The 17,861-nt window shown below is 39.6% G+C and overlaps 1 protein-coding gene across 2 annotated transcripts in view, besides 1 other annotated feature; it reads left to right on the top strand.

Annotated features, from left to right (window-relative positions):
* The window catches only part of RAB9B (RAB9B, member RAS oncogene family), a 55,934-nt gene that overhangs the window by 21,745 nt on the left and 16,328 nt on the right, over window positions 1–17,861 (top strand). Inside the window, exons 2-6 of one of the 2 annotated variants that reach the window (NR_146560.2) lie at window positions 14,527–14,598; window positions 15,586–15,689; window positions 16,240–16,412; window positions 16,515–16,627; window positions 17,775–17,832. The gene's annotated coding sequence lies outside the window, so the exon portion shown is untranslated. The remainder of the gene's footprint in view (window positions 1–14,526; window positions 14,599–15,585; window positions 15,690–16,239; window positions 16,413–16,514; window positions 16,628–17,774; window positions 17,833–17,861) is intronic. The other variant, NR_146558.2, reaches the window with a different exon arrangement.
* Window positions 2,537–3,736: an enhancer, noted in NCBI's record as "CDK7 strongly-dependent group 2 enhancer chrX:103061708-103062907 (GRCh37/hg19 assembly coordinates)". NCBI's record gives its function as "activates an origin of replication core promoter dependent on BRD2, BRD4, P300/CBP, MED14 and CDK7 cofactors, with strong dependence on CDK7, by STARR-seq in HCT116 cells {active_cell/tissue: HCT116}" and the evidence as "EXISTENCE:reporter gene assay evidence [ECO:0000049][PMID:35650434]".

Raw genomic sequence — 17,861 nt, 5'->3', positions numbered from 1 at the left:
TACTTGTAGCAGATCCACCTGGGGGCTTTGTTAAAATGCAGATTCCTGGACCCCACCATGACCTGCTTAAAGTCTCAAAGGGTGGTGCAGCCCAGGCATCTGCATCTTATCAAGTTTTTCTGGTGACTCTGATGCAAAGCCCAGATGGCAGTAGTCAGAGAGTTTGTTAGGGCAGTAGAAGCCAACAGGCATCCAGACCTCAAAAAGCCACACTCTGCTAAGACAAAAGAGTTTGGAAATGCCCTGCCTGGGAAGCAGGAATTCACTTCATCCCTCCACCTGCACCAATCTCCCCTTCACTATTTGCCTAGCTGGTGCCTTCTTTTTCTTGGTGTCCAGACTTAAACATCACCCCCTTGGAGTTCTTTCCTGGCCCCTTACTCAGTCTTATAGGTGTTCACAATATCCTGGGGTTTAAAAAATTCTATTGTGTCTCACTTTCCATGTGTATGATTCTTCAGCAAGGCTCCTTCCTACTAGCCACTAAGCGCCACAAAGTTGAGGCCTGGGCCTACTGTGCACCCTACAGCACCTAGTGCAGGGCCAGGCATAGGGTAGGTGCCAGCTAAAGATTTTTTAATTAAGCCAGGTACAGTGGCACATACTTGCAGTCCCAGCTACTTTGGAGGTCGAGGTGGGAGGATCATTTGATCCCAGGAGTATGACTTCAGCCTGGGCAACAAAGAGAGACCCTGCCTCTGAGAAAAAAAAAAAAAGAATGAATACCTGAAAGAATGGATGGGAGGCACTGGTGCCTGCCCCAGCTTGAACTACCATGCTGCATGGCAGTGGCTCCATGGGGGTTCATCTTAGCTGCTCTGGTGGCAAGGTTTCTTGCAGCATCATTGTCTTAGTCAGCTCAGGCAGCAATAAAAAATATCACAGGCTAGGTGGTTAAAAACAACAGAAATTAAGCCGAGCATGGTGGGTCACGCCTGTAATCCCAGCACTTTGGGAGGCCAAGGCAGGCAGATCACCTGAGGTCAGGAGTTCAAGACCAGCCTGACCAACATGGAGAAATGCTGTCTCTATTAAAAATACAAAATTAGCCGGGTGTGGTGGCCCATGCCTGTAATCCCAGCTACTCGGGAGGCTGAGGCAGGAGAATTGCTTGAACCCAGGAGGCGGAGGTTGTGGTGAGCCAAGATTGAGCCATTGCACTCCAGCCTGGGCAACAAGAGCAAAACTCCATAAAAAAAGAAAGAAAGAAAGAAATTTATCTCTTACAGTTCTGGAGGCTGGAAATCCCAGACTAGGATGGTCAGGCTCTCCAGAGGGCCCTTTTACTAGCTTGCAGATGGCCACCATCTTATTGTTTCCTCACATAACAGAGAGAGAGCGAGAGAGACAGAGAGAGAGAAATCATGCTCTGGTCTCTCCCTTTTCTTATAAGGACACCAATGTCATTGTGAGGACCCCACCCTCATGACCTCATCTAAACCTAATTACCTCCCAAAGATCCCCTTCTCCAAATACCATCCTATAAGGGGTTAGAGCTTCAACATATGAATTTCACTAGCATTCATTCCATAACAACCATTAATAGGCTTGAAAGGTGACAAAGAAAGGGCCTGGGCCCCTTCTTCATGGGTCCTAGTCTCTAGGCAGAATATGAAGTCAATCCCAACATGTACAGCAAACAGGAAAGCCAAGCTAGCCAGGTCTTGGGCAAGAAGCCACAGGCAAAGGTGCATTTCCAGCCAGTTAGCTGGATCCCCGAAGCCCAGGGGGAAGGGGGCCCTGTTTCTTACTGACCCTCTTGCCCTGGCCCCAGCTCACCTGGCCTCTGGCTCCCCAGCCTTCCTGTCTCCCTGAGAGTGGGCCCTCAGAGTTTCTCTTACAGCTGCTGTGTACAGAATCATGAGAAGGTGGCTTCTAAAGCTCAGGAGCACTGGGCTCCAAGGCAGTGTTTTCAAGGGTGCAGAGAAAACGAGGGGTGGGTCATGTGCCTTTGCATGGCATCACGTGTGATGTGTATCGATCTAAACATATTCTGAAGGGATGGCTCAGGCTACCTGCAAACAGCCTCTTCTGGGAGACGATATGGCCAGAATGTCACATTCCTTCCAGAAAGACAGACCTGACAGTTTACGGCTCAACAAACCAAGTTCTGGAGAACGAGGCTCTCTGATGAGAGACCAGTAGCTGACATTTATTGGGTGTTTATTAAGGCCATGTGCTGAGTGCTTTATGTGCATTTTCAACAATCGTCTGAGGTAGGTACTGTTGTTGCCCCCATTTTACAGATGAGGAGACTAAGGCTTTGTCAAGCTAAATGGTTTTTCAAGGTTACATATCTTGGAAGAAACAGAGGCCTGCAGCCTGGCAGCAGAGCCCATGGTCTTCATGGCATCAGCATGTGTGTTGCCTTCTGTGTACTAGCAAACAAAGACTCAAAGAGAAGGCAGGCAATATCCCTGGGGTCACACAGCCAGTTAATACCAGAGCTAGAACTAGAAATGCAGTCTTCTCTCCCCCACTCTGGCTCTCCTCCTGACATGGCCTCAGTCACTCAAGGTACAATAGGGATAACTCGTCCCATTTTACACAGCTGAGGTCTCTTCCATCCCATGACTGGATTTTCTATGACTGCTCAGTGCTCAGAAGATTCCAGGACTGGGAATCAATGGTGGAAACAGGCCTCTGGGTTTGACCACAGCTGTGGAGAAAGATGACAGCCCAGATGAGCACCATGGTCACCCCAGGGCCATGAGTCTCTAGAGGTGCCATTCAGCTTCCCAAGTCCCTGGGTTTTGGGGACTCCCTGTCACAGCCCTTTGGGGGAGCCTCCCACCCCTGCCACTGCATCTCTTCCTCCCCTTGGCTTCTCTCTGTCTAGTTGTGAGGGCTGGGCTGAGTAGGTCACTCCCAACCAGGGCTTTTAATGAGAAGTTTTGCCATACCAAGGCAGCAAAGATGAATAATTCAGTGAAGAAGCCCAGGGAATGTTATTCTTTCAGAGAAGAGTCCCTTGACAGTGGGAAAGGCAGGGAGGGTCTGCTTCTTATTATGGGAGGAGTGGGGGCTGGGGTGACAGCAGTAGAGAGAGGTGAAGAGGAGGAAAGCCCCACAGAAATCACTGACTGTGCTTGCTTTCAGTAAAAAGTTTTAAACAGAAAAGTGATTGGAGATCAGAATTGCCTTTTTAAAGAGTAGTCTGACGGCAGTGAGGAGATAGATCAGACTTGGGGCTAGAAGAGGGGTAGGAGGAGCAGAGATGAGGCTGTTTCAATCATTCAGGTTTCAGTTATAATAAGAGGAAAAAGGTAGGACTGACAGAACTAGGTATGACTCATGAAGGAAGAGTCTAGAATGATTCTTTGGTTTCTGAGCACTTCAAAGCAAACTCTCATTTGTTCATTTCTCTCTTAAAATATCTCGTTTTAGGAGTGTTTGGAACATCAAAGAGTAAAATGCAACCATGAGCTGCTCTTCCCACCAGCATGGAATCTAGTGACAGCCTATGTCCTGGCATGTGGAAGATAAGGCAGGCTTTGGGCCACGAGGACCGCCCCCTCCCTGCCCCATCTTTTAACTTTTCCTTCCTCAGGAACTTATTTGCTAAGGCCCACATAACTATATTATCAAATAGTCAATGTTTTTCCATCTTAGCCTTGAGACTAACATGAAGAGATCTGGTTAAATCTCTTCTGCGGTCTGAGTACATTCTTTTATCACCTTGGGTAAACAAGTTGAACAACCTTCAAAAATCTATCCCATATATGCACCTAACAATAGAGCCTCAAAATACATAATGCAAAAAGCTGATAGAATGGAAGGGAGAAATGGACAATTCAACAATAATAATAGTTAAAGACTTCAATATCTTACTTGAAATAATGAGTAGAAAAACTAGGCAACTAAACAACTAAGAAAGGACTTGAATAACACTATATACCAACCAGACCTAACAGGCATCTACAGAAAACTCTACCCCCAAACAGCAGTATACATATTCTTCTCCAGTGCAGAATGAACATTCTCCAGGATAGATTATATGTTAAGCCATAACAAAAGTCTCAATAAACTTTAAAAGATTTACATTATCTAAAGAATATTCTCTGATCATGGTACAACGAAATTAGAAATCAACAACTGAAGGAAATTTGGGAAATTCACAAATATGTGGAAATTAACACCCACCTAAATAACCAATAGATAAAAGGATAAATCACATGAAAAATTAGAAAATACCTTGAGATGAATAAAAATGAAATTACAACCTGACTAAACTTACCGGATACAGGAAAAGCAGTGCTTAGAGGAAATTTATACTGTATCTGTAAGTACCTATATTTAAAAGGAAGAAAGATCTCAAATCAATAACCAACTTTTCATCTTAAAACTAGGAAAAGAAGAGTAAACTAAATCCAAAGCAAGCAGAAAGAAGTAAATAACAAAGATTAGAGCTGGGTGCAGTGAGTCACACTTGTAATCCCAGCTACTTGGGAGGCTAAGGTGAAAAAATCACTTGAGTCCAGAAGTTCAAGGTTTCAGTGAGCTCTGATTGCACCATTGTACTCTAGCCTGGGTGACAGAGTGAGACCCTGTTTCTCAAAAGCAATCAAACAAAAAGATTAGAGGTAAACAAATGAAATAGAGAATAGAAAAGCAATAGAGAAAATCAACAAAATCAAAAGTTGGTTCTTTGAAAAGATCAACAAAATTTAGCTAGACCTACCAAGAAAAGAGACAAGAGTTGACTTACAAAAATCAGAAATAAAGTATCACCTTAAAGAATTTTTTTAATTATAAAGAAAATTATTTTTAAAAAAACCTAGTAAACAAATTAAATAATTTAAATGAAATAAACACATTTCTAGAAAGGCACACACTGCCAAGCCTGACTGAAGAAGAAACAGAAAATTTTAGAGATTAAATTAATAATGAGAAAAACCTCCCACAAAGTCCAGGACCAGACAGCTTAACTGGTGAATTCCACCAGGCTTTTACACCAGTTCTTCACAAATTCTTCCAAAAATAGAGGGAACATTTCCCAACTCATTCTATGAGACCATTACTCTCCTGATACCAAAGCCAGGTAAAAGAGAAAACGAGAAAAGAAAAATACAGACCAACAACCTTCACAAATATAGATGCAAACATCCTCAATAAAGTAGTAGAAAACTGAGTCAGGCAACATATAAAAAGGATCATACACCATGACCAACTAGGACTTATCCCAGAAATGCAAACCTGGTTCACATATGAAAGCCAGTCAATAGAATACACCATATTATTAGAATAAGGGTAAAAAATGTATCATCATCTTAATAGATGACAAAATTGAACACCCTTTCTTGATAAAAGAAAACACTCAACAGACTAGGAATACAGGGAATTTCCTTAACCTCATAAAGGGCACTTATGAAAAATCTGCAGTTAACATTCTACTTAATGGGGAAAGACTGCAAGCTTTCCTTCTATGATCAAGAAAAAGACAAGATGTTCACTCTTTCCACTTTTATTTAACATTGTAATGGAAGTTCTAACCAGGTCAATTAGGCAGAAGCAATATACAAGAGGCCTCCAAAGTGGAAAGGAAGATGTAAGATAATCTCTATTCACAGATGATGTGATTTTATATATTAAAAAATTGTAAAGAAGCCCCAAAAATCTATTAGAGCTAATAAATGAGTTCAGCGGGACACAAGATCAACACACAAAAATCAGTCATATTTCTATACACTAGCAATAAGCAATCCAAAAAGAAAATTAAAAATATAATTTCATTTATAATAGCATCAAAAATACTTAGAAAAAAATTGACAAAAAAGTGCAAGAGTTGTACACAGAAAATGACAAAACTTCATTGAAATAAGTTAAACAAGACCTAAATAAACGGAAAGGTGTTCTGTTTTCATGAATTGAAAGGCTCAATATTGTTAAGGTGGCAATATTCCCCAAATTGATCTATAGAATCAATATAATCCCTGGCAAAATCCAAGCTGTTTTGTTTTGTCTTGTTTTGTTTGCAAAAACTGACAAGCTGATGCTGAAATTGATGTTGAAATTGATATGGAAGTGCAAAGAGCTCAGAATAGCTAATACAAACTCGGAAAAGAATAAAGTTGGAGGACTCACATTTGTTGATTTCAAAACTTACTACAAAACTACAGTAATCAAGACAGTGTAATAATGACATAATAATAGACACATAGGTCAATGGGATAGAATTGAGAACCAAGAAATAAACCCTTACATTTATGATGAATCTATTTTCAAAAAGACTGCCAGGATAATTTAATGGGGGAAAGAATAATCTTTTCAACAAATGTGCTGGGATGCCTGAATATCCACATGGAAAACAATGAAATTGGACTCCTGCCTCACAGTATAAACAAAAATTAACTCAAAATGAATTATAGATGTAAAGGTAAGTGTTAAAACTATAAAACTCTTAGAAGAAAACATAGGTAAAAATCTGTGTGACCTTAGATTAGGCAATGATTTCTTAGATATGATAGCAAAAACAAGAGCGACAAAAGAAAAAATAGATAAATTTGACTTCATCTAAGTTAAATACTTTTTTGCTTCAAAGCCACCATCAAGAAAGTTAAGACAACACAAAGAATGGGAGAAAATATTTGAAAATCATGTATCTGACAAGGAACTGGTAGCTAAAATATGTAAAGTAGGCCAAACGCGGTGGCTCACGCCTGTAATCCCAGCACTTTGGGAGTCTGAGGCGGGTGGATCACGAGATGAGGAGATGGAGGCCATCCTGGCCAACATGGTAAAACTCCGTCTCTACTAAAAATACAAAAATTAGCTGGCCTGATGGCATGTGCATGTAATCCCATCTACTCAGGAAGCTGAGGCAGGAGAATTACCTGAACCAGGGAGTCGGAGGCTGCAGTGAGCTGAGATCATGCCACTGCACTCCAGCCTGGGCGACAGAGCGAGACTCAGTCTCAAAAATAAATAAGTAAATAAAAATATGTAAAGTACTCATAACACAATAATAGACAAATAATTTTAAAATTGGCAAAATATCTCATAGACATTTCTCTAAAGATATACAAATGGACCATAAGTACATGAAAAGATGTTTAACATCATTAGTCATCAGGGAAATGCAAAACAAAACCATAATGAGATTTCACTTCATACCCAGTAGGATGGCTATAATTAAAAAGCCAGATAATAACAAGTGTTGACAAGGATGTGGAGAAATTACAACCTTCATACATTGTTATTGGAAATGTAGAATGTTGCAGCCACTATGGAAAACAGTCTGACAGTTCCTCAAAAAGTTAAACATAAAATTATCATATGTCTCAGCAATTCTACTCCTAGGCATAAATCCATTAGAATTGAAAACATATGTTCACACAAAAACTTGTACAGGAATGTTTGTTGCAGCACTATTATAACAGCAAAGAAACAGATAAACCCCAAATGCTCATTAACTGAAGAATAGATAAACAAAATGTGTCATACCCATGCAATCGAATATATATTATTCAGCAATTGAAATATATATTATTTGACAATAAAATGGAACAAAGTACTGATACATGCTACAACATGAATGAACCTCAAAAATATTATGTTAAAGGAAGTAAGCCAGTCACAAAAGACCACATAGTATATGATGCTATTTATATGAACTGCCCAGAACAGACAAATCCACAGAGACAGAAGGTGGATTAGTGATTGCCTAGTGTTGGGGGTGTGAGGGTGAAAGAATAGGGAAACATTGCTAGTGGGTATGGATCTTCATTTGGGGGTGATGAAAATGTTCTAAGATTGGTTGTGGTCATAGTTGCACAACTCTGTGAGCATACTATTAATAAAACTCATTGGATTGCACACTTTAAATGGGTCAATTGTATATGAATTATATAACCATAAAGTTGTAAAAAAGTAACCTATCATACACTGATAGCTGGTGATATGAGTTTATTTTCACATGTAACTGCAAAGAAAAGCAGAGGCAAAGAATAACCTAGTCATTTCCCAGTAAAGCAAAGGCTACATCAAGGTTCATTCCTATGTAGCCACTTCCTAAACTGTAGTCCTGCTTACCCTTAATATGTATCAGAAACTCTATGTATCCAACTAGAAAAATTATCAGTGCCCTCAAGAGCAAAGGATGCCATTCCAGGTCAATCATTTGTTTGTTTAATTTGAACCTCAGGTGGCTGAGAATTGAGTTGATCGTATTTCTGAGTTCTTAGTATATTTTCATTATCATTTCAGGCAAGGTCCCTCTCTCTCTATCTTCACCCCCGCCTCTCTCTCTCTCTCTCTCTCTGTCTCTCTCCCTTTTTTTCTCTCTCTCTCTCTGTCTCTCTCTCTCTTTCTCTCTCTCTCTCTCTTTCTTCTTCTATCATCCCTACCCCTATTTTCCTCTCTCACCTCAGGCACCCACTTCGATCCATTTAATATTGTCCTTAAACATGCTGGTATCTTCGTAAGTTATCCACTGGTGTTTATGTATTATGTACTTTTTAACTGTTAATTTCTTGATAAAATTTGTTCTGTATTTAGTGGTTACATAAGTTGCACAGTGGCATTGACTCCCCTCATGGTAGAGACTAGGTGTTCCAAGTTCTGATTAGCCTGTTCTGGCCCTCAGTGTTCTGTTCTCATTAATCTCATTTTGTCCTTGACATGCCCCTCTCCCAGGACAACAAACAGGAAAGTTTGTTATATAAAATGTTTTCTTTCATTTTAAAGACTTCCTCCCCTGTGATAGGATGTATCCCTGTGCTGGGAGAACCATAGAGCAGTGGTTAAGTAAAGAGACTCTGGAATGTGACTACCTAAGTTTAAAACATAGTTCTACCACTTACCAGCCTGTAACTTTGGGTAACGCAGTTAACCTATCTGTGCCTCAGTTGCTTCATCTTTAAAATTAGAATGATGATAATAATAGTGCTCATCTCTGGACTGTTATGAGGCTTTTATGAGTTAATATCTGCAAAGTACAAACAACAATGCTGGTACATAATCAAAGTCATATTGTTTGCCATTGTTAGATTCCCAGGTTGTCAGTTCCAGGATCTCAGGATCTTCTGGTGAAACAATAATTTATTCACACTCAGTAAGGTGGACAGAGTGCAGATGCTAGGCCCAATGACAAACAAACCTAGAGAACATCAGGCCGTGGTCTTTAGGAGGCCTGTCACCACTTGGCAGGAACAGTATACCTGGGAAAGTGGTGGGACCAAATGATAGGAGCCTAGGAGCCACACTCCTAGGAGGGGATTGGAGCAATAAGTGTAAAGTGATCTGAAGTGGGGACAACCCTACTATAAATGGTAAACAAGGTGGGTACTCAGACTAGGAGAATGGGGTGCTGGAACACTGTGGAGGAGGGGTCATGAGTGTCCACGGTAACAGGAAACCTAGTCCTGGAGACATCATCATACTCCACTGTAAGCCCAGGAAGACAGAAGGGGAGAGAATGAGGCAGAGCTTACAATGGATCTATGCTTGTTGGTAACCCTGTTTTAAAGCAATAATCCCCAAATACTTTAGAATTGAAAACTATCACTTCTTTTATTTTAGTTTATCTCATTCTTTTTTCCTAAAGGTGTATGGTATATGCATTTAAAATTGAACTGCATTAAAGTCTTATTTGTATCATTTTCCTAATACTCTTTGAAACAATTGGAGTTGTCCCAGCATGTTGAAAACAGCCCTGGAAATGAGCTACCCTAGGCTTTTACTGTGGGGAAAAAAGATAGTGAACGATATCAAAAGCCTTTCTTACCTGTGAAGGTAAAAGCTTTTGACATGGAGCCATTTCAAGTCAAATTTATACCTATTTCTCCAAGTTTTTGCCAGACAAGGTCTCTCACGCAGATACATTAAAATGAGTAAAGAGCTTAGAGTTCTTATTAGGGCTGGAGTATACAGATCTGATTGAGAGAAGATGTTAATTCACCATACTTGAATCCATCTATTAACTTACTGACAAAACCACATCTAAGTCCAGTGTTTTACGGTTTTCTGAATTCTAGAGTTTGAAATGAGGGTGAGGGAAGAAGAGACCTAGAACTGTTTTCTTTCTTCTTTCAATTCTGACCACCTTTCACACTTCCACAGAAAAGAGAGGGGAAAGAGAAAGAAAAAGAACCCAACAAAGTAAGAGGTGGTTTTGGAAACTTCACTTGGTTTCAACAACTCAGCAAGATTAAATTACTAAAGCAATGAATGTGTTCTGCCCCCCACCCCCACCAAAAGAAATCCAAAACACATCAGGAATCATAATAACAGTCTGCTCTTACTTCAACACTCAAATAAAGCACAACTAGTTTTGATACTAGACTGTAGAGAAATATGTCCCCTGTAGCCTTCTGGATAAATATAGTATAATGAATGACACCCACAAAAACATGACCATAGTAAACATAGCCACTGTTGCATAGGACGGCTTTTAAAAAATGGTCCTTAATACAGGTCACTGACATCACAAAACAGAGCAATTTAGTAAAAATAATTCCAAGATGGCCACTGTGAAGCAATTCAAGTATTATGTTGCTACCTATTGGTCTGGCATAAATCAGGAAGATGTTTTAGACTCTAAAGTAGAGCAATCCCCAAGCTTTGTCCTCTGTCCTCTTGGGGGTAGAGTAGAAAATGCAGGTGTTGCTGCAAGGAGTCCCCCGCCCCGCATCCATCTGAACACCAAGGATTGTCAGTAAAATGAATGAATGATATGTCTTCATCTGTGTGGACATCAATAGAATACAAACTCATTTTAAAATGTTACTCAATATTGATCATTACTGAAGCTGAGTAATGGTTGCATGAGGCTCTTTGCATTTAGGGACTCTCTTTACTTTTGTGTATGTTTGAAATTTTCTGTAAGAAAAAATTTTAAAACAGCGTTATTGAATTGGTTGTATATTTTAAATGTTTTCTCAACCAATGGGTAATTCCCTCCACCTGTTATGGTAGAGGCCTGAAAAACTTATCACCTTAGAAAGAGATTTCCACCCTCAAAATGTTTTGGAGAAACTTCTACACAGTATGACCTCTAATGTGAGATGTGTGTGCACTCTGTGGTGATTGCAACATGATTCATTTGAACTAGTATTTGTACTAATTTTTAATCTTAAAATAAGAATAAAGTTTTATTAATATCTAATATCAATAAATATTAAAAAGATTGACTCTGGTGTTCTCACTCTGCTGATTTGTCAAGGAAATATGCCTTTTTAACAATCAGTGAGAAAGTAAGTGCCTTTCAAAGGAAATATGCCATACAGAGAGAATTTGAAAACAGATATGCGGAGATACCTTCATCAGCTTGTGACTTTGCTGCTGAAAACTATGTGTGTCACTTCTTTTCCCTATATATATATATAAATTTGAGCAGATTTGCTGTGTGTAATTATATAAAATGTATTAAAATATATATATTAAACATATGCTTTAAATATTGACATTATATTCATGTACTGCTGTTCTAATATACACATATAAGGCATGAAAAACAGAACACTTAAAAGTATAAAATTATATATATATATATTTAAAGTAACAGGGCATGTTTAACTTGCCTAAAACAACCTACTCTAATAGCTTGAACTCATTTGTAAAAATATTTTAGTTTGGGTCGGGCTCGGTGGCTCACGCTTGTAATCCCAGCACTTTGGGAGGCTGAGGCGGGCAAATCACGAGATTGGGAGTTTGAGACCAGCCTGGCCAACATGGTGAAACCCCGTCTCTACTAAAAATAAAAAATTAGCCGGGTGTGGTGATGCATGCCTGTAATCCTAGCTACTCAGGAGACTGAGGCAGGAGAATTGTTTGAACCTGGGAGGCGGAGGTTGCAGTGAGCCGAGATCGCACCCCTACACTCCAGCCTGGGTGACAGAGTGAGACTCCATCTCAAAAAAAAAAAAAAAATTGTAGTTTGCAAGGGCCACTAAATGATGGCAGGGAGAGTGAAAATTTGATAGTCAAATTTCAACAAAAATCTTTGCATAACTGCAAAGTGAGGCTGAAAATTTAACGTAATTTATTGAACACTGCCAATGTCATACTGCATCCATTTACATCTATGAATCTTTGTAAGTTATTATTTTCAGCTATAACATCCATTCGAGCCAAGGGCAGTTTAAACTGAACTCAGTATTCTAAAATGTTAAACCATGATTTCAAAATTAATGAGGCATATTCAGTCACATTGTTCTCACTAAAATATTAATAATATCATGTTTCAAATAAGATATAAATTGTGTAAGTATATATTATCAAATAAAACATATTTTAAAATATTACTTCATATTTATCTTATACTTTTAAATGTTGTTTTCCATGCTTTGTAATGTGTATATTAGAACAGCAGTACATGAATATAATGTCAATATTTAAAGCATATGTTTAATATATATTTCAGTACATTTTATATAATGACACACAGCAAATCTGCTCAAATTTTAATATGTATACAAATCGTCCTGGGATCTTGTTAAAGTGCAGTTTCTGATTCAGTGGGTGTAGATCAGGCTGAGATTCTGCATTTCTAACTAGCTCCCGGGTGATCCTGATGCTCCTTGTTCTAAGACCACACTTAGAGCAGCAAGGTCATGGCGGGGGGATGTGGGCTCCAACATGTTTTACTCATAGTATTGCACAATAAAAAATATTTGGAGATGACTGGGGAATGAATGGAGTACACTTCCTTCAGGTTATCCCCCCTTAACCACTGCTTCTCTCAATGGAGTTTTTGGCAGGTACTATGACAAATGTGAACCTGAAATAGGCAGTGCTCCAAAATGGATCCTGAGTGGCTAACTGGGCCTAAATTTTAAATAGAGCCAAGTGGCCATCTGCCAACTATAGGTCAGAGGTCTCAAGTTCCTCCAAAACCCACACCTCTGTTCAACTTTGGGACTTCCAGAGCTCACCTGAACCAACCAATCTGAGATCATCTGCCTTGACCAATCATGGCTTAGCTGCCTCAACCAATCAGGCTCAGTTGCCTTGACCAATCAGGGCTCAGTTCTATCAACCAGTCAGAACTAGGTGAGTTTGAATACTTCATTTGCATAAACTTTTGCTGTAAAAGTATAACCCTAGCTTTGCTCTCTGGAGCACACCTTCATTTTACACCTAAGGCTGTGTGTCTCTGGTGTCCAAACTGTTCTCTGGAATAAAGTCTCTTTCCTTGGGGCTGGGAGCAGTGGCTCATGCCTGTAATCCCAGCTCTTTGGGAGGCTGAGGTGGGCCAGGAATTCGAGACAGCCTGGGCAACATGGCAAAACCACGTCTCTACAAAAAATTTTTTTTAAATTAGCACTGAGCATGGTGCAGTCGCCTGTAGTCCCAGCTACTCTGGAGGCTGAGGTGAGAGGATCACTTGAGCCCAGGAGGTCAAGGCTGTAGTGAACCGAGACGGTGCCACTGCACTATAGCCTGGGCAACAGAGTGAGACCCTGTTTCAAAAAAAAAAAAAAAAAAGGTCTCTTTCCTCTAAATTCCTTTTTATTTTTAATAATTTTGTTTGTTTTATTTTTTATTCAAGACAGGGTCTCGCTCTGTTGCCCAGGACGGAGTGTAATGGTGCAATCACAGCTCACTGCACCCGCAGCCTCTGGGGCTACAGCTATACTCCCACCTCAGCCTCCAGAGTAGTTGGGACTACAGGCACTAGGTACCATGCTGGAGTACTTTTTTTTTTTTTTTTTTTTTTTTTTTTTTGTAGAGGCGGTGTCTCGCTTTGTGGCCCCTTTTCAGAGAACTTTTGTTCACTATACTGAGCTACAATGATAGTGGTTCTGCTCCCTGACAAATACCGGGATTCAGCTAATCTCTGCAGCTTTGCCAGTCAGCTGAGCTAGGATAGGATTAACATGCTCATGTGTAAACTGATGTGACCAACAAGGCCACATGCTCCAGCATGGAACTGAAGGATAATAGTTGCTTCTGCCTCATAAGACTGATGTGAGGATAAAATGAGATGTGTAAAGTACTTTGCAGATACAGTGCTTGATAAAGTGCAGCTATTATTGTTGGAGGCAAGGCTGCTTACAGTCCGGGCCAAGTTTATCTTCAGGCAATTATTATTATTATTATTTCTGAGACAGGGTCTCCCTCTGTTGCCCAGACTGGAGTGCAGTGGCACAATCTCGGCACACTGCAACCTCTGCCTCCCAGGCTCAAGCATTCTTGTTCCTCAGCCTCCTGAGTAGCTGGAATTATAGGCTTGAACCACCACGCCTGGCTAATTTTTGTATTTTTAGTTTTGCAATGTTGGCCAGACTGGTCTTGAACTCCTGACCTCAAGCTCAAGTGATATGCCCTCTTTGGCCTCCCAAAGTGCTGGGATTACAGGCATGAGCCACCATGCCCTGCCCAGACAATTATTTTGAATCTTCTTTAACACCAAGACAAATAGGGCATAAAGCATGACTTAAAATTTTTTAACCTGGAAATATTTTAAAGTAGTTGTAACCCGCTAAGCTATTAAAGACAAACAAACAACAACACATGTGCAGAAATTCCATAAGCACCCATATATTACCTGGCTTTGAGAAATGTAATTTACTTTTGTCCTTTCAGATAAGCCAGCTGCAGAATATATCCTGAGGTACCTGCTTTATGGAATTATTCACACTATTCACCAACAGGAAGGTAGGAACATCTACTGAAAATGACAAATTTTTTTTTTAGGAAAGCTGATATGTATACTTTCTTCCTAGCAGTAATTAGCTGAGCCATTTGTTTGCTAAGACCACTCTGAGCTTGTGATAATATCATCTGCGTATAGGATAATTTGTGTGTTTCTGTTCACTTGTGATAATATCATCTGCATATAGGATAATTTTTATGTTTCTCTTCACTTTTTTTTGGATAATGTGGGCTGATTTAATATTTTAAGTCAAATGAGATTTCACCAAATTTCTATCTGGTACATGTTGGGGACATGGAAGGAAGCTTTGATTGCAAGAGCCACATTTCCCTGTTGTTTTTTAAAGTTGGTCTACATGTGAATTCATCATCAACTAGAATTAAAACCATCTATACACTTTCAGATATCAGTTGGCTTGTTTGGTTTTAATATTGTAACCCTCAGAATCAGCTTTGTATTTTGCCCCTTTGATGCTTGAAAGATAGGGTTTCACATAATATATAGAAGATCCATGAAGCTAGTTCCTTTGGAACCTAGAGCTGGGTGACTTTCCACATTGGGGGGCAAAACAGTCCAAGCCTATTTAATGTTTTTCAATCTTAAATACCATTGCATTTATCTAAATACAGACTTACATGTCTATATCTTTTTTTTTTTTAACATGACTCTTTGTTTCTCATGGGACTGTGCAAGTTTCTCCCTGATTCTATCTTTTCCACTGTTTCTGTGGAAGGATGTTAGCCTCATTCTTCACCATGCTCCCTGTCTCCCTGCCTACCCCTTTCTGTCTTTAGTTGAGCTCCATGAGGGCTGAGACTGTATCTCTTTTATTAACTGCTATACCACAAACACTTTGCATAATACTTGGCACAGATAATTTATCAAATAAATATTTTTTGAGAGTTTGAGTAAAATGTTAAGACTGGATTTCTTTGGACTGATCCATAATCAGTAAAACACTCATTACCTTATCTGATATTTTCCTTTAGAATAAAGTCAATCAATTCAAGGAGTCTCAGAACAGGAGCACATAGACACCAAACTTTGTGGGACAACAAATATAATGAAGAGTATGTTTGCGTCTTTCAAACAAGTGAGTGAACGAGGAAAATCTTTCCCAATATATAAATATTGACTTGAAGTCCTTACCTGCTTATTGATGTAGGAATGGCCAAGTATTGATTTCGTAAATATAATAATGAGTATTTCTTTTATTTGTTACTTAATATTCATGAAGTTAACTGTTAATGTCAAAATAGCCACACTACCTGTGTTCACAGTTAAGGAAATCCAAACAGAGAAGGACTTGGTATCTTTTTTGTTGTTGTTGTATAAATTTAGGGGATACAAGTGCAGTTTTGATATGTTATATCTTACATTACCCTTCCTTGGCTTCTCAGACTTAGCCTGGATAGAGACAAAAGGCCAGACTGAATAGCTTGTGTTTATATCAATCTTGATTCATGTGCCCTCTGACTCCCCAAATGATTGAGTGGGTGGAAGCACGCACATGCATTGAGCCAGTGTGTGCATAAATGCTGTCACATGTAAGGCAAGAAGCAGGGTGACACAGAAAGAGCAAGTCACAAGTTGTCAGGACTCTAAATTGAAGTTTTGTTTGTATCCATGCCCTAAAAACCCAGAGCCACGTGAAGTCAAGGCCCTTAACACCCACCCCTCCCACATACTGAGGGGAGAATTCAGATGCCCACTGGAGTCAGCCGATCAGACTGCCTTTTGCACACTCCTTGCCTCCACTCCAGTTTACCGTGGAAGACCTGTCTGCTATGGCTGAATCTGAGAGAGATCCTTGAGTGTAAGATCTGGTCTTGATCACCTTTCTACCCACACTGCCCCCAAACTTGAACTTCCTGGGGTTTAACACAATACTTAGTAGTTTCTCAATGAATGTTCACAGAACGAATTAAGGAATGAACAAATGTTGCTCTGGACAAAGCTGCAGCTTCCACGTCCTGCATAACTGCACTCAGTACTGACCCTGAAGATAGGAAAAGCAATACAACTGGTGCTGTAAGAAAATGTTTCTTGTTTATACTGCTGCATCTTGATCTTCGGCTGATCTCAGCACAAAGAGAGCTCTTTCAGTTAGAAAAAAGGAGGTTTATGGTGTGTGGGAGAGCTAAGAACAATGGGTTCAATTGATAGACTGGAGATGCTCTCAGCTTCTGAGAGCCTAGAAACTCCATCTATAGATTCATCCCAGAGGCAGAGCCAAATAAGGGCAGATGGAAAACATAGCTTTCTTGGGAACTGGCTTTCGGTTCCTCTGAGGCAAAAATACAATCACTCTGTAGAACCCTGAATCAATTCTCCAAAATATGGTGCTGTGTCCTTGTTTGCAGTGTCTTAAAATAAGTCCCTGTCATATTTTTATTCTTTATGTCTTAAAGTCGTTCAACCAGACTCGCTTGCAGAATATTAATTGTGGTTAAGCAGAAATCAGGAAATTAAATTGAAACTGCTTTTGAATGGAGCTCCTTAACTGATGACTGACTTGTCATCCCTCCAGCTAAAGATTCCTTTCTCTCCAGTCATTTGCCAGCTGCAACTATGGGGCAATGAAATGATTTTAAGACAGCTTTCTTTAAGCTGGTCATCAGAGTGCTGTCCAAGGGTGCCAAATTCTAACCTAGGGTTGTGAAAGGGCTTTAATGCTATGTCCCCGGTGGGCTAGTAGGCTGGCCATCCAGGGTGGTAGGTGTCACTAATTTATTTTAGTACTGCCCTGCCACAGCCTGTTTACATTTACGTTGCCCTTTCCATACCTGCTCTGTCCTTTAAGTACTAAACCTTCCATCCAGTACTATCCAAATAAAACTAAATATTAGTCACGTATGAATTACTAAGGGATCATTACTGGAATATCCAAACAATTTAAAGAGAAGGTAACAATAACTTAAATCTAAATGCACCGGGGACTGGGGCACCACTAAGGTATTGAAAAAGTAACCATAGTTGACTCTGAACATTCTGAAACCCAACTTCGAAGAGAAAAGAAACCTTTAAGTAGGCAATAAATTGGTTTCAATATCTGCGTTTTAACACAAGCTCAGACATGTACTTACTGGATTTCTTTGGGCAAATTACTTTGCTTCTATTTCTTAGTGTCTTCAACTATAAAAGTAGAAGTAATCTATTCATATACTATTTATTTCAGAGAAATGTTATGAGAATGACTTGGATGAGCTGAAAAATGAATGATCTCCTTGAACAAGGTACGATTATTAAGTTTCTATTGTGAAGT

Source organism: Homo sapiens, chromosome X (genome assembly GCF_000001405.40).
Source record: "Homo sapiens chromosome X, GRCh38.p14 Primary Assembly".
NCBI lineage: Eukaryota > Metazoa > Chordata > Mammalia > Primates > Hominidae > Homo > Homo sapiens.
Note: the sequence above shows the minus strand (reverse complement) of the source record. Positions and strands in the feature narration are given on the sequence as shown.